This window comes from Homo sapiens, chromosome 10, assembly GCF_000001405.40.
Source record: "Homo sapiens chromosome 10, GRCh38.p14 Primary Assembly".
Lineage (NCBI taxonomy): Eukaryota > Metazoa > Chordata > Mammalia > Primates > Hominidae > Homo > Homo sapiens.
Genome location: NC_000010.11, coordinates 300,005 through 326,808, shown reverse-complemented (window position 1 = coordinate 326,808; position 26,804 = coordinate 300,005). Strand labels below are relative to the sequence as shown.

Sequence of the window (26,804 nt, the reverse complement as noted above, 5' to 3'; positions counted from 1 at the left end):
AGCATTCATAGGACTTACTCTGTCCTGGAACATTTTAACTTTTGTGACAGGGGTAGCAGTTTGTCCAGACCTCTGCTGTTCGACTTTTTAAAGATTAGATACTAGACAGATGAAGAAACCAGTCCCTCGAAGTACTTAGTCCCACGCGTGTAGACGATCGCTGTAGGAAGAACTTAATGACATTGAGCAGGTTCTGGGATTTGCTGCTGCAATGGCATTTTAGAAACCGCAAAGCCGCACTTCTGGGAAACAGGCGTAAGTGAAGCAGCTCTAGCAAGACAGCCTTGCATTAACAGTGGCTGACAAGCTGCAGGCAGAGCTGCGGATTTCCTTCCTGGAAGAATAAGGGCTTCCCTCTCAGCAGGTGCTGGTGAGGCAAACGGTTGGTGTGCATCCCTCCACCTCCCTCTCCCCACCCCCTATCCTACTTGTGATCCCAGAGTGATTGCTTAAGGTTGCTGCTGGGTGAGCCTCCGAAGGCTCCCTCTGCCCTTTTCACGCCTGTCTAGGTGCTTGGAGTTAGCCACTAGGTCAGAGGAGGGAACCTCCTCTCTTCCCGAGATCACTTCAGAAAAAGTAGCTGCAAAAAGCTTTTCTTGATTTTTCTTTTACTTTTTTGAGACAGGGTATCACTCTGTCACCCAGGCTGGAGTGCAGTGGCGTCATGGCTCACTGCAGCCTCAACCCCCTGCCCCCCGCTCCCAGGCTCAAGCAACCCTCCCACCTCAGCCTCCCACGTGGCTGGGACTACAGGTGCACACCACCACGCCTGGCTAATTTTTAAATTTTTTGTGGAGACGGGGTTTCACCATGTCGCCCAGGCTGGTCTTGAACTCCTCAGCTTAACAATCTGTCTGCCCTGGCCTCCCAAAGTGCTGGGATTACAGACGTGAGCCACTGCACCCGGCCTTTTTTTTAATTTTCATAAACGTGGTGTTCCTTGCTTCTGTCTTGCTTCTCTTTTAATTATTATAATAGCTCCATCTTTAAGAAATTATAAATTACCAAATTTCTCTCAAGAGTCAGTTAAACCTTGTCCTATGATTAAAATAATACCCTTTTCTAAGAGGTCATCTGAAGAATTAGATTTATCTCACCAAACTAGTTCTTAAAATATTGAAGTTTTCTCTGCCTATTCACCTTTTTCTGTTCCTCATAAATGTTTATCGCCATCTATCCCATTAGGAGAAATAGGAAATGCAGAAGTCTGCTTCTTAAGTTCAGCAATAGTGTGATGTCTCACTTGTCTCCATCCACCAGTGACAGGGACCCCCGGGCAAGAGGAAATCAGTGATTTGTGAGAGATGGCACTGGCCATGGCGAGGCTGCTGCTTCTGGCTTTGTCTCTTAAAATGTCAAGGTGGCGCTGAAGGGAGAGAGCAGAGAGTAACCCGTCGCATCGTGCCCTCCAGCAGGTGACAGAGTTCAGCGTGTGGTGTAAAATTGGCCTCTTGTAGAGTACATACATTTATTTTCCTCTTTACTTTTTCATTTATTTCCATCCACCTGGATCCAAAATGTTTTTTTTTTGTTTGTTTGTTTTTGAGATGGAGTATCACTCTGTTGCCCAGGCTGGAGTGCATTGCCGTGATCTGGGCTCACTGCAAGCTCCACCTGCTGGGTTCACGCCATTCTCCTGCCTCAGCTTCCCCAGCATCTGGGACTACAGGTGCTCGCCACCAAGCGCAGCTAATTTTTTGTATTTTTAGTAGAGATGGGGTTTCACCGTGTTAGCCAGCATGGTTTTGATCTCCTGACCTCATGATCCGCCTTCCTTTGCCTCCTAAAGTGCTGGGATTACAGGCATGAGCCACCACGCCCAGCCCCAAAATGTTTTAAGATGGTTTACAAGGAAGGAGTACGCTCAGTAGGAGAAGATAAAATACGTGAAAAAAGAACCAAAACATGGAGATGAAAGAAAAACAGCGCAGGAAAGGGACAGAATGAAGAACAGAGTTGGCGTGCTGGTGTTTTCCACAAGGCTTCTGAAGCGTGCCACCGTCCTTACCTCGGCACCAGGGCGGGGCCTGACACGTGGTGGATATTGAATGAATGTGCGCCGTGGGAGTGTTGAGCACGGTTCTGTATTCTTAATAGGAAATGGCAATATGTTCTTGTGCAGAAGACAATTCTGTCAATATGACCGCTAAATCAAAATTCAGTATTCTAATCATGGGTCATGGCGTTATTTTGCAATCTTGGCAGCATCTTTAAGCATTTTTGTCCATGTTCAGTTTTCTACTTGACCTATCCCTAACTCCTTTCGGTCAGCATTTCCTTGTCTGCATAGTATTGGAAAATAGTTGGAAGTATCCAAGTGTCTACCAGCAGAGAGAAATTAAATTTATGTACAAAGCAATGCGAGCTCACCTCCCCTTCCCAGAATCTTTGAGGGCAGGTGTGCTTCGGAATTAGGTTTCTGGCTTTGTGAGAGGTGATGTGGCACAGATGCCATGCATGATGCCACAGCTCAGTATCACATGTGCCAGTGTTCCTGCAGCAAGGAAGGGTGGGGGCCCCAGACTTGAAGGGGCTCATGTCAGCCTATGTCAAATTTTACTACAAAGAAACTTATGACAAAGTTTGTGCCATCATCAAACATTTCTCACAGTCAGTGAGTTGGACGGTAGGCATGTAGATAATTTTTTCAGGAAGTGACTCATTTTAGTAAAAGCGAGCAGTGAGAGGATAGAGTGCCACGAACACGGGGAGGCGTTCTGGGGGAGGGCAGTCAGGAACGCTTCAGCAGAGCACAGTGAAAGGGCGGAGTCGTGCGGGCGAGAGTCCAGCGAAGGCAGCCGTAAGTGCAGAGGCTACAGGCAGAGCTGGTCTTTGGAAACACTCATTTTCTAGAATCTGCAAAATTAAAAAAACCTGATGGTGATAGAAACAAGCAGAGTGGAGAAGCCCAGGATCCAGCGGCAGAAACCACCTCTCGCTCCCTGGCTCTCCATAGAGCCCAGCACACAGGACATGCCTGGTACATTAAATGTACGGACCACACTGCTCATGAGTCCTAATAAGGAAAGCCTGAAATGTTTCTGAATTTTCTATACATTGAATTTATTTTTCTTTATAAAAGAATATTTTAGAAAACAAAATCAGAAAATACACTTTAGCTTATAAATAACAGTCATAAACCCATCTACCCTGAGATAATCACAATTAATCATTTGATGTAAAAAATCAAAAACACAAAAAATTAAGACACTGCCAGAATTCCAAACCTTGTACCTAAATATTTAAAGATGTTGAAAAATGTAGCTTTCAGTTTGAAGCAGCAGCATCGTGAGTGAGTGTGGAAACGGGGGTGTCTGCTCTCAGACTGACTGCGTTCTAACAACGCTGGTCTCTCGCTGGAGCCCCGCACCCCCGACTGACTGTTCTAACAGCGCCGGTCTCTCGCCGGAGCCCCGCACCCCCGACTGACTGTTCTAACAGCGCCGGTCTCTCGCTGGAGCCCCGCACCCCCGACTGACTGTTCTAACAGCGCCGGTCTCTCGCTGGAGCCCCGCACCCCCGACTGACTGTTCTAACAACGCCGGTCTCTCGCCGGAGCCCCGCACCCCCGACTGACTGTTCTAACAACGCCGGTCTCTCGCCGGACCCCCGCACCCCCGACTGACTGTTCTAACAACACTGGTCTCTCACTGGAGCCCCGCACCCCCGACTGACTGTTCTAACAGCGCCGGTCTCTCGCCGGAGCCCCGCACCCCCGACTGACTGTTCTAACAGCGCCGGTCTCTCGCCGGAGCCCCGCACCCCCGACTGACTGTTCTAACAACACTGGTCTCTCGCCGGAGCCCCGCACCCCCGACTGACTGTTCTAACAGCGCCGGTCTCTCACTGGAGCCCCGCACCCCCGACTGACTGTTCTAACAACACTGGTCTCTCGCCGGAGCCCCGCACCCCCGACTGACTGTTCTAACAGCGCCGGTCTCTCGCCGGAGCCCCGCACCCCCGACTGACTGTTCTAACAGCGCCGGTCTCTCGCCGGAGCCCCGCACCCCCGACTGACTGTTCTAACAACACTGGTCTCTCGCCGGAGCCCCGCACCCCCGACTGACTGTTCTAACAGCGCCGGTCTCTCGCTGGAGCCCCGCACCCCCGACTGACTGTTCTAACAACACTGGTCTCTCGCCGGAGCCCCGCACCCCCGACTGACTGTTCTAACAGCGCCGGTCTCTCGCCGGAGCCCCGCACCCCCGACGGACTGTTCTAACAGCGCCGGTCTCTCGCCGGAGCCCCGCACCCCCGACTGACTGTTCTAACAACACTGGTCTCTCGCCGGAGCCCCGCACCCCCGACTGACTGTTCTAACAGCGCCGGTCTCTCGCCGGACCCCCGCACCCCCGACTGACTGTTCTAACAGCGCCGGTCTCTCGCCGGAGCCCCGCACCCCCGACTGACTGTTCTAACAACACTGGTCTCTCGCCGGAGCCCCGCACCCCCGACTGACTGTTCTAACAGCGCCGGTCTCTCGCCGGAGCCCCGCACCCCCGACGGACTGTTCTAACAGCGCCGGTCTCTCGCCGGAGCCCCGCACCCCCGACGGACTGTTCTAACAGCGCCGGTCTCTCGCCGGAGCCCCGCACCCCCGACGGACTGTTCTAACAGCGCCGGTCTCTCGCCGGAGCCCCGCACCCCCGACGGACTGTTCTAACAGCGCCGGTCTCTCGCCGGAGCCCCGCACCCCCGACGGACTGTTCTAACAGCGCCGGTCTCTCGCCGGAGCCCCGCACCCCCGACGGACTGTTCTAACAGCGCCGGTCTCTCGCCGGAGCCCCGCACCCCCGACGGACTGTTCTAACAGCGCCGGTCTCTCGCCGGAGCCCCGCACCCCCGACGGACTGTTCTAACAGCGCCGGTCTCTCGCCGGAGCCCCGCACCCCCGACGGACTGTTCTAACAGCGCCGGTCTCTCGCCGGAGCCCCGCACCCCCGACTGACTGTTCTAACAGCGCCGGTCTCTCGCCGGAGCCCCGCACCCCCGACTGACTGTTCTAACAGCGCCGGTCTCTCGCCGGAGCCCCGCACCCCCGACTGACTGTTCTAACAGCGCCGGTCTCTCGCCGGAGCCCCGCACCCCCGACTGACTGTTCTAACAGCGCCGGTCTCTCGCCGGAGCCCCGCACCCCCGACTGACTGTTCTAACAGCGCCGGTCTCTCGCCGGAGCCCCGCACCCCCGACTGACTGTTCTAACAGCGCCGGTCTCTCGCTGGAGCCCCGCACCCCCGACTGACTGTTCTAACAGCGCCGGTCTCTCGCTGGAGCCCCCGCAGGCCTTCCCTGACTGTGCACTCTGGTGGGGGACGCCTGATGGAGAGAGGGAAGAGTTTTATCTCCAGGAGATAGGGAGCAAACTCAGCAAAGAACATTGTCCAAAAGAGAGAGGGAGCCTCACCCGTGTGCAGCAGGGCTTAGGATGTGTCAAGGGCATCACGGTCAGAGGGGGTCCTGGTCTTCGGGGAAGGCTGAGCTGCACAGTTCATGAGTGTTATGACTGCAGGATTTCAAGGCCTCACCGGTGCTCCTGAGCAGTGCTGCATCCTCAAGGGCGAAGCCGCATGCAGTTTTTCCAGTGCTGACTTGGCGCCTGGACAAGCACTTTTTAGAACATACCTGACACAGGAAACATTACAGGTGTACAGAGACACATTGGGTGTTTGTTTTTACTTTGCAAAAATCGGCTCTATCAGTGGCACTCTGGTCCTCCCACCATCCAGCCCCAAGCGTCTGCCTCCCCTTCGTGCAGTTGTTCCTAAGCCACTTTCTCATGCAGTCTTTCCTGCTTCATAACCCGGACACTGTGCTCGGCCTGGATGGACTCTCCTCTGCCCTCATCCTGCTCCGCCCGGGTCCCCTCCATGGGGCCTTCTCGAACTCTGTCAGCTGCGGTGCTCTCTTTCCTCTGAATTGCCAGTGTACTTTGTTCCTCCTCCTTCACACTTTCCAGCTGCTTTTTAATTATTTATCACCATGTCCATGTCGCTTCTGCTCTGTGAGTAGCTGTTTTACAGAACACAGTTTTTTCTTTGTTGTTGTTAGTGTTTGTAGAGACAGGGTCTCACTATGTTGCCTAGGCTGGTCTTGAACTCCTGGCCTCAAGTGACCCTCCCACCTCAGCCTCCCAAAGCACTGGGATTACAGGCGTGAGCCACCACACTCAGCTAAGAGCATGGCTTTATGAAAGAATCTCCCTCCCTGAGTGTCCAGTGCCATCTCACATCATCACAGTCACTTCTGGATGTTGGATACATTTTGTCAAAGTACTGATACTTGATTTTTTTTTTTTTTTTTGAGACGGAGTCTTGCTCTTGTCATCCAGGCTGGAGTGTAATGGCATGATCTCGGCTCACTGCAACCTCTGCCTCCTGGGTTCAAGTGATTCTCCTGCCTCAGCCTCCCAAGTAGCTGGTATTACAGGCACCTGCCACCTCGCCGAGCTAATTTTTGTATATTTAGCAGGGACAGGATTTTGCCATGTTGGCCAGGCTGGTCTCAAACTCCTGACCTCGTGATCCTCCCACCTCAGCCTGCCAAAGTTGATTCTTTTAAGTGCCAATCTGTGTGTGTAAATACAATTCACATTAGAGAAATTAAACATATCCTTACTTGACTAGAGTCTAGTCTCCCGTGGAAAATGACTTGGCATGATGAATTTTCTCAAAATGAACCCCTGGTGTGAATCTTCACCAGCTAAAAGCTCATATGCCATCTGTAACTGTTCCTTGCAAATGAAAACCCAGGGTTTACTATTCTTCAACCTTCTAACAGCATTTTCCTCTCAAATAGGAAGTCTGGGGCTTGCACCTTAAGAGTCATTCACGCTGGAAAAATACATTCTTTAGTCATTGCATTGGACCATTGGATTCAGACAGCATCTAGTTAGGTCTTCCCATGCTCTTTAAGGGAATTCTTAGTTGTTTTAAGATGAGAGATGAAGGCCCTGAGAAGTGAACTTTCCTAATTGACAAAGCTAGGAGGTAAAAACAGAACAAAATTTAGAAGTAAAAGCTATTTGTTACTCTTAGGAGTAACATTTCCCAGTACCTTTAGCTGGAAAAATGACTTTAAAAGAATTTCAATTTACTAAATTTATGATAAAAGTGGACATTAGAAAGATCAAATTATGACTTCTGTGTTTAATTAGCTTTCACATAAATTTCTCTTAGTATTATTAGAAGGTGTCACTTATTATTTGGAAATATATTTCTCACAGCCACAATTACTCTTCAAAAATGTAAGCTGGAAGGTCTTTTGTTGCATTAGATTTAGAGATATTGTTCACTGTAACAGAAAAATTGCATCCTCCTTCTAGTAGAAGCAGGGAAGAAAAACATGAGGTCTTCTGTTTTCCAAAAGAGACCGCGGTTGTTTATTTATTAGGAAAAAAACATAAACAGAAACTTGGATTTCTATTATATAGAAAAATAACTGATTTATCTGAGAGGGCAGCTTTATTATAAGTAGCTTTGTGTGGGATTAAATCAACAGTAACTATTGCAGTGACCCTTAAATCTTGAAACTCACACAATGAAAGAGAAATACAGCCCCCCTAGTAATAGAAGGAGTCATGGATTGTTGAAAGAAGTGAGCCAGGCGCGGTGGCTCACGCCTGTAATCCCAGCACTTCAGGAGGCTGAGGCGGGTGGATTATTTGAGGTCAGGGGTTCGAGACCAGCTTGCCCAACATAGTAAGACCCTGTCTGTACTAAAAATTCAAAAATTAGCCCGGTTCATTGGCACGCATCTGTAATCCCAGCTACTCGGGAGGCTGAGGCAGGGGAATTGCCTGAACTTGGGAGGTGGAGGTTGCAGTGAGCCGAGATCGTGCCACTGTACTCTAGTCTGGGTGACGGAGCAAACAGAGCCAGACTCTGTATAAAAAAAAAAAAGAAAAATGTGGAAGGCTCAGGAGATGATGTAAATCTTAATTCTCAAAATAAATAGTTGTAATAATAAGACTTTCATTAACTTGAGCTCTCAGTTTCCTTGTCCCCCTACACTGCTTTTAGGTGAAGGAAATAAATAAGGTGCTGTTGGGGATTTTGAAAGCCTCAGGGAATGAGCCACCGTCAGCAGGAACTTTATGCCCTTTCCTGCTGACACACGGCATCCCAGCCACGCTGGGGATCATGGAAACCATATTCCAGGTATCCTGCACGTCAGCCAGCTTTCTGACCTGTAAGCAATGGAAACCTCCTTTGGCAGTTTGAGGCACCAGTGAGTGGCTCTCAGAACCACCAAGGGAGTAGGACCAGCGTTGGGAACCTGCCTATGGGAACCGCTTGTGCAGCAGCTTGTTCTTGTGAGGACACCACACCTTGAAGTCTGCACTGCTGACCTTGTTCCTGGACACGAGACTTCCCCACCAGCATGGCATTCCCCAAACCTGGATCGTGTCTGGACACCTTCACTGCCGACAGCAAGAGCCCGATTGGTTTGTGCTGTAAATGGATGTGACTGGTTGATCGTCTCCCCACACCCTAGCTTCCAGGAAGGCTGGGAAGGGACTTCTGGTATTTTTACTTCCTACAGAGCCACAAGGGCTCTGTATTCAAACAGGACTCAAAAAGTGGAGGAGTTCTCCCGATACAGGAGGACGGTTGAGATGTATGGTGACCAAAGTGTGGCAGCGGTGGCTGCTCCCACCCCTCCCTTTCGCCATCCAGCATCACTGTGTTCTCGTCCTGCCCTTACGCATCTCCATAGCCCCAGGAAGCCACCGTGATGCAGCTGCTGCTTTTACGTCTACTCAGGCACTTGCCCTTCATGCAAAGGGGAGACAAGCCGAAGCCTCTGGAATTACCATGACCGTCATCAAACCCACGACTTCCTAGGCGATGCCTCCTCTTTCTCTGGTTCCATCACTGATATTCTGTGATCTACAGATGGAATTGTAAAATTTACAATTGAGGGATGAAGAGAGAGAAAAGAAGAGGAACATTCGAATTCTACCAGTGTTTTTGGATGTCTCACGTGCCCTAGGCACTGATGGACACTGCACTGAACAGATAATCATGTTGGATCTGCAAGGTGCTAAGTGAGTCTTTCCATCTGTCTCCAGGAATGTTGGAGTCACCGCTGGAAGAGTCTTAGGGACCCAGGAGATCATGATGAGGGTCTGAGGGGTGTAACTGCACAGCTTCAAGTGTTCGCCTGGCTTTCAGCAAGGGATTCTCTATCGCAGTCACAGAACATGCCTGGCTTTTAGTCTATGTCTTGAACCAAAAAGCAAGAATCTGAGTTCATCATTCACTCAGTAAGTTCAACAAAAACAGCCGTGCCGTGTCACGTCTGGGTGCTTTCATCTGCTCTGTGGCTTGGCAGCCCCTAAACTAAAGCCTTCCCACGCCCTCTCTCTAAAGTGTCAGAGCATGGCGTCCAGGCTGCCAGCCTCATGGTGCTTTCCGCACAGCTACTCAGCTCTGCTGTGCCACTCAAAGCAGAAACAGGCAATATGTAAATGAGCAGGCATTGCCGTGCTTCAGTCAAACTTTACGAAAGCCAGTGTTTGGCTGGTCCTGATGACCAGCTTGCTGGTAGACGGCCTGAGCTGAGTTCACACTGTCTGTGGCCCCCACCCCACCAGTAATCCATTCCAGAACCCCCATTTCCTGACAGTTTGTCACCTGCATCAATGCCTGATGACAACATACAGATCCATCCATTTGATGCCAACCATAGAAACAAGCTCAATGTGATTTTTGCAAATTTATTTTTTAAATATTTTGGAATTCCATTTTTTATTGAGATGTAGAAGTCACAAGAGACTCTTGTTCCAACCATAACCGTCGGAACAATCTGGTTAATACACAGACTCATCGTTTCTAAGATCCATCAGAGAGCTGAAGACTCAAATGTAGATGAATTACATTTCTTCCTAGGAGAAAAGAGACCTGTATGTGGTTTTTCCCATGGCAGAGGAGCCAGGAGAAAGAATTTACCATAAAAAATGATAAAGCAAAAAGTTTCTGAACTTTTTAAAAAACATAAATGGCAGTATGTTATTTGCAAGGTAGATGAGAATCCCAGGGGAGTCCTAAAAGTGGATGCATTTTCTCTGAGGCACTCTGAACCTTTAGTGTGCAAAAGGCAGGGGCTCCTGAGGGCTGGGAGGTGAGCAGGAAAGCCGCTGGCTCCCGCTCGAGGGTGGCCTGGATCACCCAGCAGAGCCCTGGCTACCCTCCAGGGCAGCCCAAATCACCGTGGGAACTCCACTCACACTTCAACAATGGAGGTGGGATGAGGGCATAGCACATCCCTCTGCAGCGCCCTTGCCCTTCACCATGTGTAACGTATTTGCCTTCCAAAGGCTGGGAGTGTGGCAGTGGAATAGAGGAAGCTGGGGGTGAGACTGAAGAGAGAATCACCCAGTTACCTAAAGTGGGTGGAAGGTCTCCTACTGTTTGGAAAGCAGATCTCTCGCCGTGAAGCATAGAAGACATCCAGTGTCAGTGTTCAGGCCCAGCATCCGGATCCTGCCCATAGGCTTGTAAATTCTTTTCTGGGGGTAAATGTTATTTAATCTTTACTGTTCTTTTAAATACAATCTTCGTTTTTCATAAAACATTGTGTTATATAATCAAAATTTAAAAGACCTGCAAAGAAGCAAGAGAAATGGACTCATGTTCATGAGAGGAGATGGCCCTAGAAAGAGTCAGTAGAAGAGACATGCTGCAATTATCAGAGACTTCGAAATAGCTGTGATAGGTGAGGCCAGAAATTCGTTGAAAAGGTGTACAACATCTATGAAGAGGTGGGGGGTATTGCAGAAAGATAAAAACTATGAGAAAAAACAAAATGGAAATGCTGGAAATGAAAACTAGTATTAGAAATAAAATTCCCATGGTTTAATAGGAGACTAGATACAGCAGAGGAAAGACTCATTGAATGAACTTGAAGTCTGACCAATAGAAATGACCTAAGCATAAAACAAGGAGAAAAGGCATGAAAATACAGTGGAACAGAGTGTCTGAGGCCCGTGGGTCTAACATACCTGTAGTGATCGGAGCCCCAGAAGGAGCGGTGAGAGAAAATGGGGCAAGAGAACAATTTGAAGACCTATGGCCAGGAGTGAAGGGAAGAATCAACACAAAGATTCAAGAAGCTCAGTCAACTCCAGGCAGAGTAAATGAGAAGAATCACACCCAGATGCTTTGTTGTCCAAACACCGAAAGTCAGTGGCAGAGTCAATCTTAAAGTCCCTGCAGAAATAAAACTAAGTAGGGGGAAGTAATAAAAACAACACTGAGTTCTCATCAGAAGTGCTGGAAGCCAGAATACAGTGGAGTGGTGCATGCAGGCTGCTGAAAGAGCTGTTTCTTCTGCAGGAGATCCTTCAGAATGGAAGAGAAAAGCAGATACTTAGCCAACCTAGAGAATCGTTCAGCAAATACGTGTCACAAGAAATAGTAAGAATGTCTCAAGGATGAAAATAAATGATAGCAAAATGAAGCCCAAATTTTTAAGAAGAAATGAAGAATACTGAAAAGAGTAAATACAAGAAAACGTTTTAGAATCTGTCAATATGTAGACATGTAAATATTTTTAGTTTGTTTTAAAAGTATTAACTGTTTAAAAATATGAACAGCTGAGGTGTTCGTAGCATGTGTAGGAATAACAGATGAGACAACAGGAAGTTGGGCCCCGGAAATGCACTGCTGCAAGAATCTTCATTTTCATAGCACATAACACTGTGTGAAGATAGAATGCAATAAATCATTCAAAAAATACACAGAGGGTAAAGTGAAATACCACAAATATTCTATTCATGAGAAAAGGAGGCAGGAAGGGAGGAACAAAGAAAGGGACAAGTAAAGAACCAACAGCAATCGCACCAATAAGGACGTGAAAAGTAAATGAACTGTGGATGATGTGATTGCTGAGGTCAGAATGTCTGTGTCCCCCTCCAAAACTTCTGTGTTGAACTATAATCCCTAATGCAGTAGTATAAGACATGAGGCCTTTAGAAGGTGATTAGATCATGAGGGTGGAGCCCTCACGAATGGGACTTCCACCCTTATAAAAGAGGCCTAAAGGAACATGTTCATCCACTCTGCAGGTGCCTCAATCTGGGACTTGCTAGACTCCAGAGCTGTGAGTAGCCGTTACCTAGTCTAAGGTATTTCACAGCAGGCGGAGCAGACGAGCACAGAGGGACTCGTATCGCCAGACCCAGCCTCGTCCTGATGCCTTCCCATGTGCAGGAGAGGCAGGCACTGGCCACAGACCATGGGAAGGACGGCGTCCAGCTGCTGGGTGATCCGGTGCAGCACAGGGAGGGCCAACCTCCCTCTCAGGCTTCTTTAAGGAAATCCTGGCTGGTGCCGAGTTTAGAAAGATGAGTTAGCGGTGACGAGACCGGGGAGGGAAGAGCACTCTGGAAGCTGAGCTGAAGCCCCTGCAACTTCAGAGGGGTCAGGAAAGATGGGAAGAGGCCAGGGTGGCTAGAAAGGGAGGACGACGGAGGGCTGCACCAAGCACTGGTCCTTTTCCCAAGATCAGTGGGAAATTGTTACAGGGCTTAAGGCAGGGACCTGTCATATTTAGCTACTGGTTTTGAAAAGATCACTGGGAGTACATCATTAAGGCTTCTCTAAGCCGGTAACATTTCCACAGCCCCCAGATTTTAATGCAAATATAAAAATTCTTCTGGAAATAGGAGTACAAAGAAGTAGTCAAATTTTGTGTCATTTTCCTTTCCATTTGAAGAGTGTCATTTGCCTGGAGACATACAACCCAAACCTTTTCTCGTCTTCTCAGACTTACCTAGTGTACTACATAAGCCCAGTATCAGGTCTTTGGAGTTTGTTCGTTCTTTCACACATTTCTATTTACTATAGCCCTATGTGCAAGTACCAGGTTGTGCTAATATTATGGTGTGTGAATTGCTGAATAGTAAAATCACCAGTCAGCTTAAATGCTAAAATTAGTGCTGTTTTGTGTTTTCTGTGCTGATATTTGGGGTGTGAGTCTGTATATCTTCACCTGAGATTTAAATATAACTCATTTGTTCAATAAGCACTTAATACCTAATTGATATAATACTTCTGTGTCAGTAAGAAAGTTATTTTTTGGTATATACATTTGTCCCTCAATGGGGGACAGGTTTCCAGACTCCCTGTGGATACCTAAGTCTGCAGATGCTCAGGTCCCTGCTGGAAAATGGCGCAGCATTTGCATAGAACCCATGCACATCCTCCGTGTACTTTAAATCATCTCTAATGACTTGTGATGCCGAATACGATGTAAATGCTGTGTAAATAGTTGTACTGTATCATTCAGAGAATTATGACAACAAGTCTGTGCCTGTTCAGGTGCAGTTTTTTCGAATATTTGGGATTCAAGGTTGGTTAAATCTAAACATGCGAAACTCACAGATATGGAAGGCTGACTGCTTAACATTTTTATTATATAACTGGATTTTAATGTGAATCCTTTTTTCTCGTTCATATAACTTGGAATTTCAAAAATGCTTTATCTTTGTTTCTGAATGAGCTTTAGTTGGAATGGGTTAATGCTGTTTGTCTGTGGGTCCTTTATTGCAAGTATTTGATCCTTAAATACTGAGGGGCACTCTTTTGCATTAGGGATCTCCGTATTTAAGGGAACACTGGCTAGCATTCTTTGGCAATATGAAGATTTTGTTAAATACTCCCTCAATATGTATCTTGAAATTTCAGACTTTTTACCTCAGGGGTTTTATAATTTGGAAGCAGCTATATCTTACCTCTTTATCTCCTTCATGTATTCTTCTCTATTAATGCTTAGGCCTACTTGGCTTCAGGTGCTGTGTTGCCTCCTCCACGTGGTACAAGATAGGAAATGAGGTACTTAGCCGTGTACATTTTTTCCTGAGATACCACCTTGACCCATTATAACAATTTCTGAACTAGGATAATTTAGAGAGAATGTTGACTTATTTTTATTTTTGTTCCAGTTAATATTTAGGTTTCAAGGAATCATGAAGGAAAGAAATTATTTAAATCATTGCATTCAGCTCAAATATATTCAGTAAAGGTCCACTATGTGTTTGGAGCATACACACCTTTATTGGCGAGTTACTTTATTTATTCATGCTCTGCCTCTCTTTTTCAAACATAAGGGTGCTGAGAGAGAAGAGTAGCCATAATTACCCTAGAGAAGTAACAGAGAAGAGTGGAATCGTGATTTTCTTTTAAAATCTTGAACCATTGCTTATTTTCATAGACTTGGCTCTGTTGTGAGTGGTGGCAGTTTTTCCATTGGGCTTTGTGACCAAATTTGAGCCTGAAGAAAACCACTTAACTCCGTTTCCACTGCTGCAGCTGCTGTCTCTAGTGTCTGCCTGTTGCCGTCATGGGGTTGTGGGTGGGTGCCGGGCCGTACACACAAAGCACAGGTGTGCATCAGTCCAGGCGCCTGTGAAAAATCTTCTACTCTTTGTACTTTTTGGGAATATTTGGGAAAGACAGCTAAGTGACATAGGGAAAAATACCTTGCATCCAAGGAGCTTGCCCAAGTTGATTTCTGGAATTGTCCAGCAGCTGGGGTAGATTATTTAATGCGGGTAGCAGGCAGGGACCACAGCCATGGATGACGAGGAGGAGAAGAAAACAGAAGTTGGTGTCTCTGTTTGGGGAACAGCAACAGAGCACATTTGCTGGGGTGGAAACTCCTCCTGAGGCTGCCGAGCAGACCGTGTGAGAGCCCAGCGCTGGATTCTTTCAGGCTTCAGATGCATGTTGGCCTCTCCCTTTGCCTCATTGTGTAGGTGGATAGAGCTAGTGCCCTACTTGCAGGTGTAAAAGCTCACAGGCTCTCCTTTGTTCCTGGAATCAGAACCTTGGAACTACCTCAACAGATTTAGCAAATGAAACTTGCACTCCCGCGTCCCTCAGAAAGAAAGAGCACCGTGAGTGACACGGTGCAGTGCCACCATTTACCTTCTGTGTCCCTGCGCCGTGGTTAGTCACCTGCTACACCCTCTTCTGTTGCTCCGTGGATATGTTGACATCTTTAAAACATTTCTTTTAGCCTTGTACAGTGGTTAATTTTAATGATTTCCATATTTGATGTTGTTTTTGATCTTCTTTTCATTTTGTTTCCTGCTTTTCGCATTCTCCTCCCCACCCCTCCCTCTTCTCCATCCCATTTTTCACTGTCGGGTCGTATGTGTCTGTGTGTGTTGTGTGTGTTGGTTTCTGTTGTCTGGTGTTCTCTCCTCTCTTCTCGTCCTCACCCTTCTGCTGCTGTAGCCTCACAGGCTGTGGACCCTGGCCGAGCAGGTAGGGGACTTTCCTGTCCATCACACCCGTGCCTCCCTGCCCAGCCCCGCTGCCTTGCCCGCATCCAGCCGTGGGACAGACTAGCAGTTGAGTGCAGAGATTGGCCGGGGGTCTGCAGGCCCTGTGATCATGGGTGCTGCCGGCCGGGCAATGTCACGTTCAGGCCTCACGCGTAGCCGACGCTGTCTTCCCGGGGTGCGCGGTCAGTGGTTCATTTGCCAGTTTGGTTCATCTCTGTTGTACTTAATTCTTCACCTGTTTTCCATTTACTTATTTTTAATTGACCCTCCATGGCTGTATTTTGCATTACTCACTGTGGGCCGGTTCTCTGCTCAGCGCTGGTCTGTGGGGCGGCTTTGCTGAGCAGCCGGGGGTAGAGCTGTCACTGGGAGCGTCCGCCGGGAGGCTGACTCGCATGTGCTGTTCTTTTTCCCTGTCTCAGTGGTGAGATACCAGGGCCCAGGGTTATTGAGTACTATGGTATGTTTTCATGACATTGTCTTTTTTTTTTCTTATATATAAGCAATATAAGAAAATTTTGTGCCTTTAGTACAAAAATTGGAATTCTCTCCTGAAGAATTTTAGTGTAATTCTTCAAATGAATTCTGAAGGGCTCCCTTATTTTTTGGCAAATTTATTGTAGGTTTAGTCTTTTTCCAACCAAGGTATTGTACTGCCTTCCCCAAAAATGAGTGTACAATTTTGGTTTGTAATGCAGCCTTCGTGATGCTGCTCTTCTGTGTACAGAGGTCACTGGTCAGAAGTCAGCATGGTGTAATTTTTCAAGCAATTTATGGTGCCAAGAAAAGATTTCTGGACCCCTGTGTAAAATCAACAGCCCAGTGGAATGGCTCAGACCACAAAGTCCTGCCCAGCTCTCCAGGATAAAATGCCCCTTCCCTGACCTGTGTCTTGGCCGGAAATGCCCTCCTCAGGCCAGAGAGCCAGAGCCCCAGCAGAGCCCGGAGGAGCAAGATGCTCCCCTCACCTCTTCCTCCCTGGCCTGTCCATCCATATCACACATCTGCTTCACTGTCCTGGGCCCTCAAAATACACCTTTTGTTAAAGGTGGATGCATGTGGTAAAAATTTCTCCGCACAGATGCTTCATATCCTTCCAACCTGCTTTTGCAGCGCCGTCTTGGCAGTTTTCAGCCTTCCTTTTTTTGGCACAGTGCGTGGCTTTGTCTCCTTTCTTTCCTATTTTTATATATTGGCGGTCAAGCTGTGTGAATCCAGTATTATCCTAATAAGATATTCCTTCTGGAATTTAGGTTATCACACTGAAAGTTAGCAGGTGCCTTGAGAGGTTGCTGGTCTAAGTGTTTTTAGTTTTATTTTTCACTTTAAGATTTTACAAAAGAAATGTTTCCTAACTAGTAGAAGCACAGACCCCAATCTCCCTCCATGTAAACTTGAGTTAACCACTCTGTTGTTGCTTGCAGGGAACCTCAGGACCTGACCCAACCACTGTCTACGTGGACATGAGAGCCCTGAGACACGACAGGTACTGTACACTTCTGGGTTTTTTCTTTTTTTCCTTTTTTTGTTTTGTTCTGCGGCCTTGCATGCAGGTCTCCATCTAGAAGAAGAGGTGCACACGATGTTTATCTGCCCAGAGTGTAACTGTCTCATGAGTGAAGTGGTGGAGTTAGGCATTGGCTTGAACTTTGCAATTGAAAACTCTGGCCAGGCATGGTGGCTCACGCCTGTAATCCCAGGTATTTGGGAGGCTGAGGTAGGCGGATCACCTGAGGTCAGGAGTTCGAGACCAGCCTGGGCAACATGGTAAAGCCCCGTCTCCACTAAAAATTACCCAGGTTTGGTGGCGGGCACTTGTCATCCCAGCTCTTTGGGAGGCTGAGTCAGGAGAATTGCTTGAAACTGGGAGGCAGAGGTTACAGTGAGCTGAGATTGCACCTCTGCATTCCAGCCTGGGTGACAGAGTGAGATCCCGTCTCAAAAAAAAAAAAAAAAGAAACTCTGTTGCAGGACAGCAGTGGCAGGTGTGATAGCAGGAGTATGGCCAGAGCTGCTTTATCTGACCATCTCACTGGAAGGCAGGCACTCGGTTCTTTTCCTTCCTATTTTATGCACCATTTTGCCCCCGTCGTAGAATGTCAGCATCCTGCCCACATTTCTTTACATGAATGGAAATGTTTTGTCAAGATGCTTGAAATAGGGGTTAGGGGTCAGGTTACCTTCTCTATGTGGCCTCCTAAGCGCCCCCTGAGAAGAAAAGTGGAGTTCTTGGTGAGAGTGTGAGGACTCCAGAAAGCAGGCATGGGGTTGAGCAGGATGAGAAGCCCTTTAGAGGAATCTCTGCCCGCCAAGGAGGACCCACTAAGATGCCAGAGAGGAAGGAAAGAAGGCGTCATTTTTACTGCAGACTTCCCCCGTTGAAACAGATCATCTTCCACTTGGTGACTGTAGAGGTGCCCGTTCATTGTTGCTTAGGTGAAGTGCGTGGGACATGGTGCCTTCCCTTATCGCCGTCAGCAGCCGCTCCGTGACCTGTTGCTGTGTGTGCCTGTGCCCCCAGGGATGTCTGACATGCCTGGAGGCATTTTCGATCAGCACAAGTTGGGCAGTGGCTCAGCTGGCATCTGGTGGGGGGAGACCAGGGGTGTCCCAACAGCCTGCATGGGACGGCCAGTGGCTGAGAGCTCACACGCCAGGGCCAGGAGCCACGCCCGCCCTGACGGTTCACACTCGTAGATGCATGCCTGGCCCTGTGGCTCTTCCATCAGGCCCTCTGGTCGACAGAACCACTGGCTGCACAGTTATAAAATCACAGAAGAGTGGTGGCCACGTAGGAGCCCTCAGGAGGCCCTGCAGGCTGAGGGCCAGAGGCAACGCCTGCCCCCAAGGCCACCAGCTGCCAGGGACAAAGTTCAGTCTGGAACACTTAGAAAAATCAGAAATGTAGTTTTAGATTAGGTAACTTGTTTCTGGGCATACAGTTTTCTAAATAATCACTTCTGGGCATTAAAACAAATTCACCTGACTCCCCATAAGAATTCTTTGGAAAATAACTCATAATTATATAACTTCCTGAAGGAGTGAGCAGTAGCTCATCAATAACACATGTATGCAGTTCTGTCTGTGGCCTGGCCCTCAAAGCGTAACCTTTTCCCTGACTAGGCTGCTAGCTGCTTTGGAAAGCATCTGAAATGGAAGTGAGAGTACATAGGAACAGGAGCTGGCGGTGCAGTTCACTTTCCCACACACCACTGCATGCCTCTGGTCGGCACCCACGCCGCTGACCGTCGCTGCTAGCTGGCCTAGGCTCTCACCCTTGAGCAGTGCCGAGGGGAGCTCCTCGGATGCCAGACATCTTCATGAGACTCAGACCTGGCATTTTACATACAAAGAAGGAAAGCAAAGTCTGGCTGTAAAGTGACTTCCTTTCACCGGGCCCCGCCCAGGCACCCCCAAAGCCTCCCTGCTGCCCTCCAGATGGACCGTGTGCTGGGCCCCGCCCAGGCACCCCTGAACCCTCCCTGCTGCCCTCCAGATGGACCATGTGCTGGGCCCCGCCCAGGCACCCCCAAAGCCTCCCTGCTGCCCTCCAGATGGACCGTGTGCCGGGCCCCGCCCAGGCACCCCCAAAGCCTCCCTGCTGCCCTCCAGAGGGACCGTGTGCCGGGCCCCGCCCAGGCACCCCTGAACCCTCCCTGCTGCCCTCCAGATGGACTGTGTGCCGGGCCCCGCCCAGGCACCCCTGAACCCTCCCTGCTGCCCTCCAGATGGACCGTGTGCCGCTCTTTCTCCCGTGCCCTCGGGTGGGACACCACGCTGCCCTTCCCTCCCGGCTTCTGGGGCTGCTCTCACTCTTCTCATTCCTTTCTGTTTTTTTCTCCGCGATGTTCTCTCTTTGACCTTTCTAACCAGGTCTGTCTGTGGTCCCCTCCGTCTGGCTGGGCCCCTTCTCCCTTACCCCCCCACTGCAGAGAATCTCAGCGGCGTCCCAGTCTTGCTCTCCGATGCCCTCACCACCCACTCACAGTCCGCAGCCCCCAGCCCACCTCCAAGGAGTGTGGCCCCAGGGGCCTTTTCTCCAGTCCTCCAAGCCAGCCCCAAAGCCCTCTCCTTCCTTAAACCTCCCTTAAATATTCCTAGGTAAAAATGTCATCCAGCTTTAATCTCCAGCATCACTTTCAACCTTTACCAGCATGTAATATGCCTGGTGCTGCAGCCACTGGCAGGGGGCTCTGGGTCACACAGGTCAGAAGTCAGCTCCTCTGGGACGAGGTATTACACTCTGTAACCTCAGTTTCCCTCTTGCCTTAGTCTGTTTCCATTTCTGTAAAGGAACACCTGAGGCTGGTGATTTATAAAGAAAAGAAGTGTATTTGGCACACAGTTCTGCAGGCTGTACAGGAAGTGTGGTGCCTGCATCTGCCTCTGGTCAGGCTTCAGGGAGCTTCACTCATGGTGGAGGGAAAGAGGGGCCACAAGTGCAGAGATCACGTGGTGGGAGGAGGGGACAGACTGTTTTTAGCCACCGGCTCTCCCGGGAGCTGGTAGAGCAAGAACCTGCTCACCCCCAGGGAAGGCCTGCATCTATCATGACGGATCTGCCTGCATGACTCCGACTTCTCCATTAGGCCCCACCTCCAACCCTGGGAATCACATTTCAGCAGGAGCTCTGGGGGTGCTCAGAACAGGTGCAGTAAAGCCAGTCTTCCCAGGCACCTGTGAGGACAAAGTAAAGGAATGCTGTGAAGAGCCAGACTGGGGCAGATGCTGTCACTATGAGCTCCGGCAGCTGGATGGTGACAGAGGACTCACCTCTTCTGATCCACCGGCCCAGGGCTGCTGACCACAGAGGGTGAGAAAGTCGACAGTCCAAGGCCAGCAGTCGGGAGGCAGTGAAATGAGAGCCACTAAAAGCACTGATCTTATTTCTTTCTTGTTACTCTTCCTATAAAAATGGGATGGTGGTTTTCTCACTTGATCTGCATTAGGCTCTGTCACAGGATTAATTACTGTTCCTGTTGCTTTAATGGCACACTCACTTGCGAGCTCCAAGGCACCTGCCCAATTATCGTCTAATTACTCTGGAGAAGGTTAGCTTATTGGTATGCACATGCAATTTCCTTGAGAGAGAATATGAATGTGCACACGCACAAGAAAGACGGCCTACAGAGGAAGACCACCATTGTGAAAGTCAGTTGTCGAACAGGGGTATTAGCCATTTCTGCTTGGTTTTCTGCCCCTGTTTCTGATGCCCTTTTTATTCTTGGAGCCATGGTGGGTGGGACCTGCCTGCATCTGTGACAGGTCACCATGGAGAGCATTTCTGCATCATAGAGTGAGGGGACACACTCTCCCTGCTTCTGGAACAGATTACAGTCCCACATGTGCAGGAAGGAAATGATGAAATTGTGTTGAGACTATTTGCAAGTGACTGTTCAATTTTAAAATATTTGTTACAGTGTAATTCATTTAAAATGAAATCATAAGTCTCTCAATGACTTCCAATTTGGTCTTTCCATGAATACTTGAGTTTTTCAGACTTTAGATAGGAAAAAAATATAATATATATATATATATATATATTTGTCTGCATTTGAAGATGCGGTTTTAAGGCTGGGAATGGGCTCACACCGGTAATCCCAGTGCTTTGGGAGGCCAAGGCAGGAGAATCACTGGAGCCCAAGAGGTTTGAGGGCAGCCTGGGCAACATAGCGAGACTCCATCTCTACAACATTTTTTAAAAATGAACTAGGTGTGGTGGCATGTGCCTATAGTCCTAGCTACTTAAAAAGCTGAGGTGGGAGGACTGCTTGATCCTGAGAGTTAGAGGCTACAGTAAGCCATGATCACACCGCTGCACTCCAGCCTGGGCAATGGAGCAAGACCTTGTCTCAAAAGAAAAAGGAACAGTTTTAGCAATTTTTTACATCTTAAGAACATTACATTGGTGTAAAGTCCTAGAATGAAAACTTTCTTAGCTTCCTCCGGGCTTGTAACCTGAAGTCATAACTAAAGGGTATTACCAGAAAAGCATAGATACTAAATTAATTCCTACTCATTGGTTAGCCCAAGTATCAAGATCCTGAGAGCAGGGGCCACAGAATAGAAGTACATCAGTAAACTTGAGACTTAGCAGCAGAATGGAGGGAGTGAAGATAGAGACAAAGACAAACAGCTTAACAGGAGCCTTTCACCCGATCAGGTCCTTGTGTGTGTGTCTCAGTGCATGTGTGAGTGTGCTGTGCATACATGCATGTGTGTTTTGCAAGTGTGTGAATAGTGTCTGCACATGTGAATATGAGTTTGTACATGTGCGAGCTTGCCTGTGTCATGTGTTGCATGGGTGAGTGTGATGTGGGTACAAGTATAAGTGCATATATGCATGAGAGTATGAGTTTGTGCAAGTGTGTTGTGTATATATGCTGTTGTGTGTTACAAGTGTACGTGTGTGCAATACTGCATGTGTTTCAACTGCACATGCATGTGCATGAGTGTAGTGTGTGCTGCAAGTATAGACACGTGCATATATGTGTCATGAGTGTGTTGCAAGTATGTTGCAGTTGTGTGACTTTCAAATGTGTACACATTTATGGCTTTGCACGTGTCGTGTGTGTGCATACAAATATGTAGCAGATATTTGTGCACACGAGTACATGCAAGTATGAGTGTGCATGTGTGTGTTGCATGGGTGGGTGCCTGTATGTGGTACAAGTATATGAGGGTTTGCAAGAATGCAAGTGCACTCCCATGTGCATGTGTGTGCAAGTGTGAGTTTGCATGTGTGAGTGTAGTGTACTGTTTTATGTGTGTGTAAGTATGTTACATGTGTACGTGTGTGCATGCAGATGAGTTTGTGCTAGTGTGTGGGCTATGTGAGTATTGTGTGTGTGTTGCATGTGCACATGCACACTGAGTCTTAGTATTGCCTTGTATTTTGTATGTGGAGTTGTTACAAGTATACACACATGCATATATGTGGAAGTGTGTGTGTGTGTGTGTGCATTCGTGTGCATACATACATGTGTACATGAGAAGGATTTGCTGGGAGGGGGCCAGAGTTCTCCAGCTGGTCTTTAGTCCCTTCATCATGGCCTGTGGTCTTAGCAGACTGAGAGCTGGGCTGTCTGTGGAGCTCGTGTCCCTTTGCTGAATTAGTCATGTGCTGCATAGTGCTGTTTCTGTCAATGACAGACCACAGTGGTCCCCAAGACAGTGTCCCCTAAATGAGAGTGGTTCCGTAAGACTGTAATGAAGCTGAAAAATTCCTGTGAAATGGAGTTTATTGATGTTGTGGCCATCATAATGCAATGCGTTATGTGTTTGTGGCAATGCTAGTATAAACCTCTGCTGCCAGTTGTATAAACGTATAGCATGTAGGATCATACACAGTACGTGCATAATACTGGACTGTGATAATAGACACCTGTGAAGCCGGTTTATGTACTTACCTTTAATGTCGTTATCTTAGAGCATATTCTCTATACTTAACAATAAAAAAGTTAACTGTAAGACAGCCTCAGCAGGTCCTTCAGGAGGAATCCAGCAGAAAGCATGGTTCCCACAGAAGATGACGGCTCTGTGCATGTCATTGCCCTAAAGACCCTCCAGTTGGACAAGATGTGGAGGTGGAAGCCAGTGATTTCAGTGATCCTGACCCCGTGGAGGCCCAGATTAATGTGTGTCTGTGTATTAGTTTATAACAAAAAAAAAAGTTTAAAAAGTAAAAAACTTTCGGCCAGGCGCGGCGGCTCATGCCTATAATCCCAGCACTTTGGGAGGCTGAGGCGGGCAGATCACCTGAGGTCGGGAGTTCGAGACCAGCCTGACCAACATGGAGGAACCCCGTCTCTACTAAAAATACAAAATCAGCCGGGCGTGGTGGCGCATGCCTGTAATCCCAGCTACTAGGGAGGCTGAGGCAGGAGAATCGCTTGAACCTGGGAAGCAGAGGTTGTGGTGAGCCAAGATCGCGCCACTGCACTCCAGTCTGGTCAACAAGAGCAAAACTCTGTCTCAAAAAAAGAAAAAAAAAAAGTAAAAAACTTTTAATAGAAAACTTGATATAAAGATAAATTATTTTTGTACAGCTGTACAATATGTTTTAATCTGTTTTTATAAGTGAGTCAAAAAGCTTTAAGGAATTTACAACATAGAAAGTTACAGTAAATGTAGGTTAATTTATTTAACAAGGGAATTTTCTTATAGATTTAGTGTAGCTTACGAGTACAGTGTTTATGAATCTACAGCCACGTGCGGTGATGACTTAGCTCACAAGTGCAGTGTTGATCAATCTACAGCCTCATGCAGTGATGTCTTAGCTCGCGAGTAGTTTTTACAAAGTCTACAGCCGCACGTGGATGATGTCTTAGCTTACGAGTACAGTGTTTAAGAATCTACCGCCACGTGTGGTGATGTCTTGGCTCACGAGTACAGTGTTTATGAAGTCTACAGCCGCGTGCGGTGATGTCTTAGCTTACAAGTACGGTGTTTACAAATCTACAGTCGCGTGCAGTGTTGTCTTAGCTCACAAGTACGGTGTTTACGAACCTACAGACACATGCGATGTCTGACCTCACGAGTATGGTGTTTACGAATCTACAGCCGTGTGAGGTGATGTCTTAGCTTACAAGTACAGTGTTTACAGAGTCTACAGCCACGTGCAGTGATGTTGTAGCCCTTTGTGTGAACTTACCACTCACCCAGAGCAGCTTCCCGTCCTACAAGCTCTGTTTATGGGTAAGTTCCCTATATGGGTGCACCATTTTTTATCTTTTCACAGCATGTTTTACTGTGCCTTTTCTATGTTTAGATACACAAATATTGTTGTATTACAATTGTATGTAGTCACATGTTGTCCAGGTGTGCAGCCCGGGAGCACTTGGCCGTACCATACAGCATAGGAGCGTAGGAGGCTACCCCATCCCAGTGTGTGTAGGTCCACTCTGTGGTGTTTGCGTGATGACACAATGGACTGACAGCTCATTTCTCAGGATGTTGCCTTGTCGTTAAGTACATGACTGTACTTTTTACCTCCAGCTTCTCAGTGTTTCATATGATCCTCAGGTGACTGTCCCAGCAGTGTACCCAGGAGCCTCACCCTCACTCCCCCGTCCCTTGGGTACCAGAGCTGAGCCTCAGGGTGGTTTGGCTGCAATGAATTTAACAGGTGCTTGGATTAAGCTCAGGACCCATTGTCTGGCCTCAGATCTATCACTTTCTGGCCATGTGATCCTGCACACGTTGCCTTCTTGTATTTTACTTTCTCTGCCTGTGAAATGGCAAAAGCAGTGCCACTCCTAGAGTCATTAGGAGGATTCTTGGTATGCGTCAGGTGCTTGGGACAATGCTGGCCAGCTGTAAGTCTCAGTACAATTATCTGATACAGTTATACCTTTACATGGATATACAATTATGTGTATGTAGTCATGCAAATGCCTTTTTTCTTATTAGTTTATAGTTTTTCCTTTATTTCTGCTCTGGCTGTCTTCAGGCATGAACCCAACTTGAGATGATCATCGGGTAAGGGACAGTAGGGCTTTCACAATTCCTTAAATAGAACTTGCAGTCTACTTGAAAACTTGCAGTCTACTTGAAAACCAGTGGGAAAACCGAATGAAAAATAAAAGAATTCACTTTCACACCATGTCACTTGTGGTATTTGGACACAATCTCCTGCGAGGCTTTGCCGTCCTCCTGGTGTCTGGTTTGCACTGCTCCCACTTCTCTTGCCTCCCGACTCTCCAGACATCCCCTGGCCAGGTGTGTGTGTGAAAGGAGAGCAGTCATGGAGCACTGTGGCCACCCTGCAAGCGGGCGAGGACGCGGTTACCAGAGGCGGGCTCCCGGGTCCTGCCCCTCCAAGGTGTGTTTTCAGGAGATGGAAGAGGCAGGCTTGTTGCCATATTTTTGTCTCTCCTTTTTTAGAATTACCATCCATATCCCAGAGAGACTGTGTCCATGTTTAAACTCATTAATATTTTTAGTCTTTACATCCCATTCTCTAATTTCTTCTTTCACTTTGCCGTGTCAGTGTAACGTTAAACCTTTTAGGGCCTCAGTTTATCTCCTAAATGAGACAAGCAGCGAATGAGCAGTTCCCACCCACTGTGACCCGCTGCAGCTGCCTTTTCTCCTGACCCCCTCCACCTTCCCCAGACCCCAACCATCTACCGTCTGCTTAAGGCCCTTGGGCTGACCAGCATCCCCTCCCTCTGACATCACCAGCGTTTCCTTGTCTCTGAAGTCGTTTCTCTGCATGTAAACATGACGTGATAAATGCTGTCTAAAAACAAAAACCCTCCTTTGACCCTTTTCACCCGCGGCCACCCCACGGCCCTCTCTCCTGACAGCTGAACACCTCAGAGGGTCTGGGTTCATCTCCTGCTGGCTCATGAGAGACAAAGCCCCATGTCTCCACGGTTCCCTGGTGGCACCCGGCAAGGCCACCTACGACCCCACCCTAATGTTCCACGCTCAGTGCCAGTGGATGCTGCTGAGCCTACCCTCCTGCTGGAAACTTGCTCTTCTCTTTGGCTTTAGGGACTACACACTGATAGTTCTTTTGTTGAAATAAACAGAAAAGCTTATTTTTCTGTTTAATAAAAGATGTCTTTTATGATTTAATAAAAAGATACTTTTCAAGTCCTTTCTGTGGAGAAGGAGTTGCCCGGCTGCTTAGAGCGAGTTCCGGTTTCTCCACACGCTCAGGGCCGCCCCTGGATCCGGTTTCTCCACACGCTCAGGGCCGCCCCTGGGTTCCGGCTTCTCCACACGCTCAGGGCCGCCCCTGGGTTCCGGCTTCTCCACACGCTCAGGGCCGCGCCTGGGTTCCGGCTTCTCCACACGCTCAGGGCCGCGCCTGGGTTCCGGCTTCTCCACACGCTCAGGGCCGCGCCTGGGTTCCGGCTTCTCCACACGCTCAGGGCCGCGCCTGGGTTCCGGCTTCTCCACACGCTCAGGGCCGTGCCTGGTTTCCGGTTTCTCCACACACGCAGGGCTGCTCCTGGTTCTGGTTTCTCCACGCACTTAATATTGTCCTCATTAAATCTCTACTCTCCATCCCTCTTTTCTCGGCCCCTGGTACCCACCATTCTACTTTGTCTATGAATTTGACTACTCTAGGTAGGTACCTCATGTAAGTTGAGTCCTGTGGTATTTGTCTTTTCGTGACTGGCTGATGTTACCTAGCATAATGTCCTCAAGGTTGATCGATGTTGTAGCATTGTGTCAAAATCTTCCTTTTTAAGATTGAATAATATTTCCTTGTACGTATATACCACACTTGGCTCATCCATTGTCTGCCGATGTTCACTTGGGTTGCTTCCACCTTTGGGCTGCTGTGAACATGGGTTTATAGATACTGTTCAAGACCTGGTTTCAGTTCTTCTGGGTATATACTCAGAAGTGGAATTGCTGAACCATACATTAGTTCTATTTATATTTCTGGAGGAACTGCCATACTGTTTTCCACAGCCGCTGCATTGTTTTACCTTCCCGCCAGCAGTGCACGTGGGTCTGGTTTCTCCGTGTGCTCACCAACAGTAGGTGTTTT

At 48.2% G+C, this 26,804-nt stretch overlaps 1 protein-coding gene across 9 annotated transcripts in view, besides 4 other annotated features; it reads left to right on the top strand.

The window, feature by feature from the left end:
* Positions 1-26,804, top strand: part of DIP2C (disco interacting protein 2 homolog C) — a 415,468-nt gene that overhangs the window by 362,860 nt on the left and 25,804 nt on the right. For 5 of the 9 annotated variants that reach the window (NM_014974.3, XM_005252426.4, XM_011519431.3 and 2 more), the window contains one exon: positions 16,717-16,778. In NM_014974.3, the coding sequence (NP_055789.1) occupies positions 16,717-16,778 (62 nt within the window). Of the gene's footprint in view, positions 1-15,242; positions 15,273-16,716; positions 16,779-26,804 lie in introns of all 9 variants that reach the window. The other 4 variants (XM_005252427.5, XM_005252428.5, XM_011519432.3 and 1 more) reach the window with 1 other exon arrangement.
* Positions 2,048-3,247: an enhancer, noted in NCBI's record as "P300/CBP strongly-dependent group 1 enhancer chr10:369502-370701 (GRCh37/hg19 assembly coordinates)". NCBI's record gives its function as "activates an origin of replication core promoter dependent on BRD2, BRD4, P300/CBP, MED14 and CDK7 cofactors, with strong dependence on P300/CBP, by STARR-seq in HCT116 cells {active_cell/tissue: HCT116}" and the evidence as "EXISTENCE:reporter gene assay evidence [ECO:0000049][PMID:35650434]".
* Positions 11,763-12,262: an enhancer, noted in NCBI's record as "H3K4me1 hESC enhancer chr10:360487-360986 (GRCh37/hg19 assembly coordinates)". NCBI's record gives its function as "activates a minimal SCP1, AML or CMV promoter by ChIP-STARR-seq in naive H9 embryonic stem cells {active_cell/tissue: H9 hESC(naive)}" and the evidence as "EXISTENCE:reporter gene assay evidence [ECO:0000049][PMID:30033119]".
* Positions 17,437-18,386: an enhancer, noted in NCBI's record as "H3K27ac-H3K4me1 hESC enhancer chr10:354363-355312 (GRCh37/hg19 assembly coordinates)". NCBI's record gives its function as "activates a minimal SCP1, AML or CMV promoter by ChIP-STARR-seq in naive H9 embryonic stem cells {active_cell/tissue: H9 hESC(naive)}" and the evidence as "EXISTENCE:reporter gene assay evidence [ECO:0000049][PMID:30033119]".
* Positions 19,613-19,662: an enhancer, noted in NCBI's record as "active region_2892". NCBI's record gives its function as "activates an Ori minimal core promoter by ATAC-STARR-seq in GM12878 lymphoblastoid cells {active_cell/tissue: GM12878}" and the evidence as "EXISTENCE:reporter gene assay evidence [ECO:0000049][PMID:35858748]".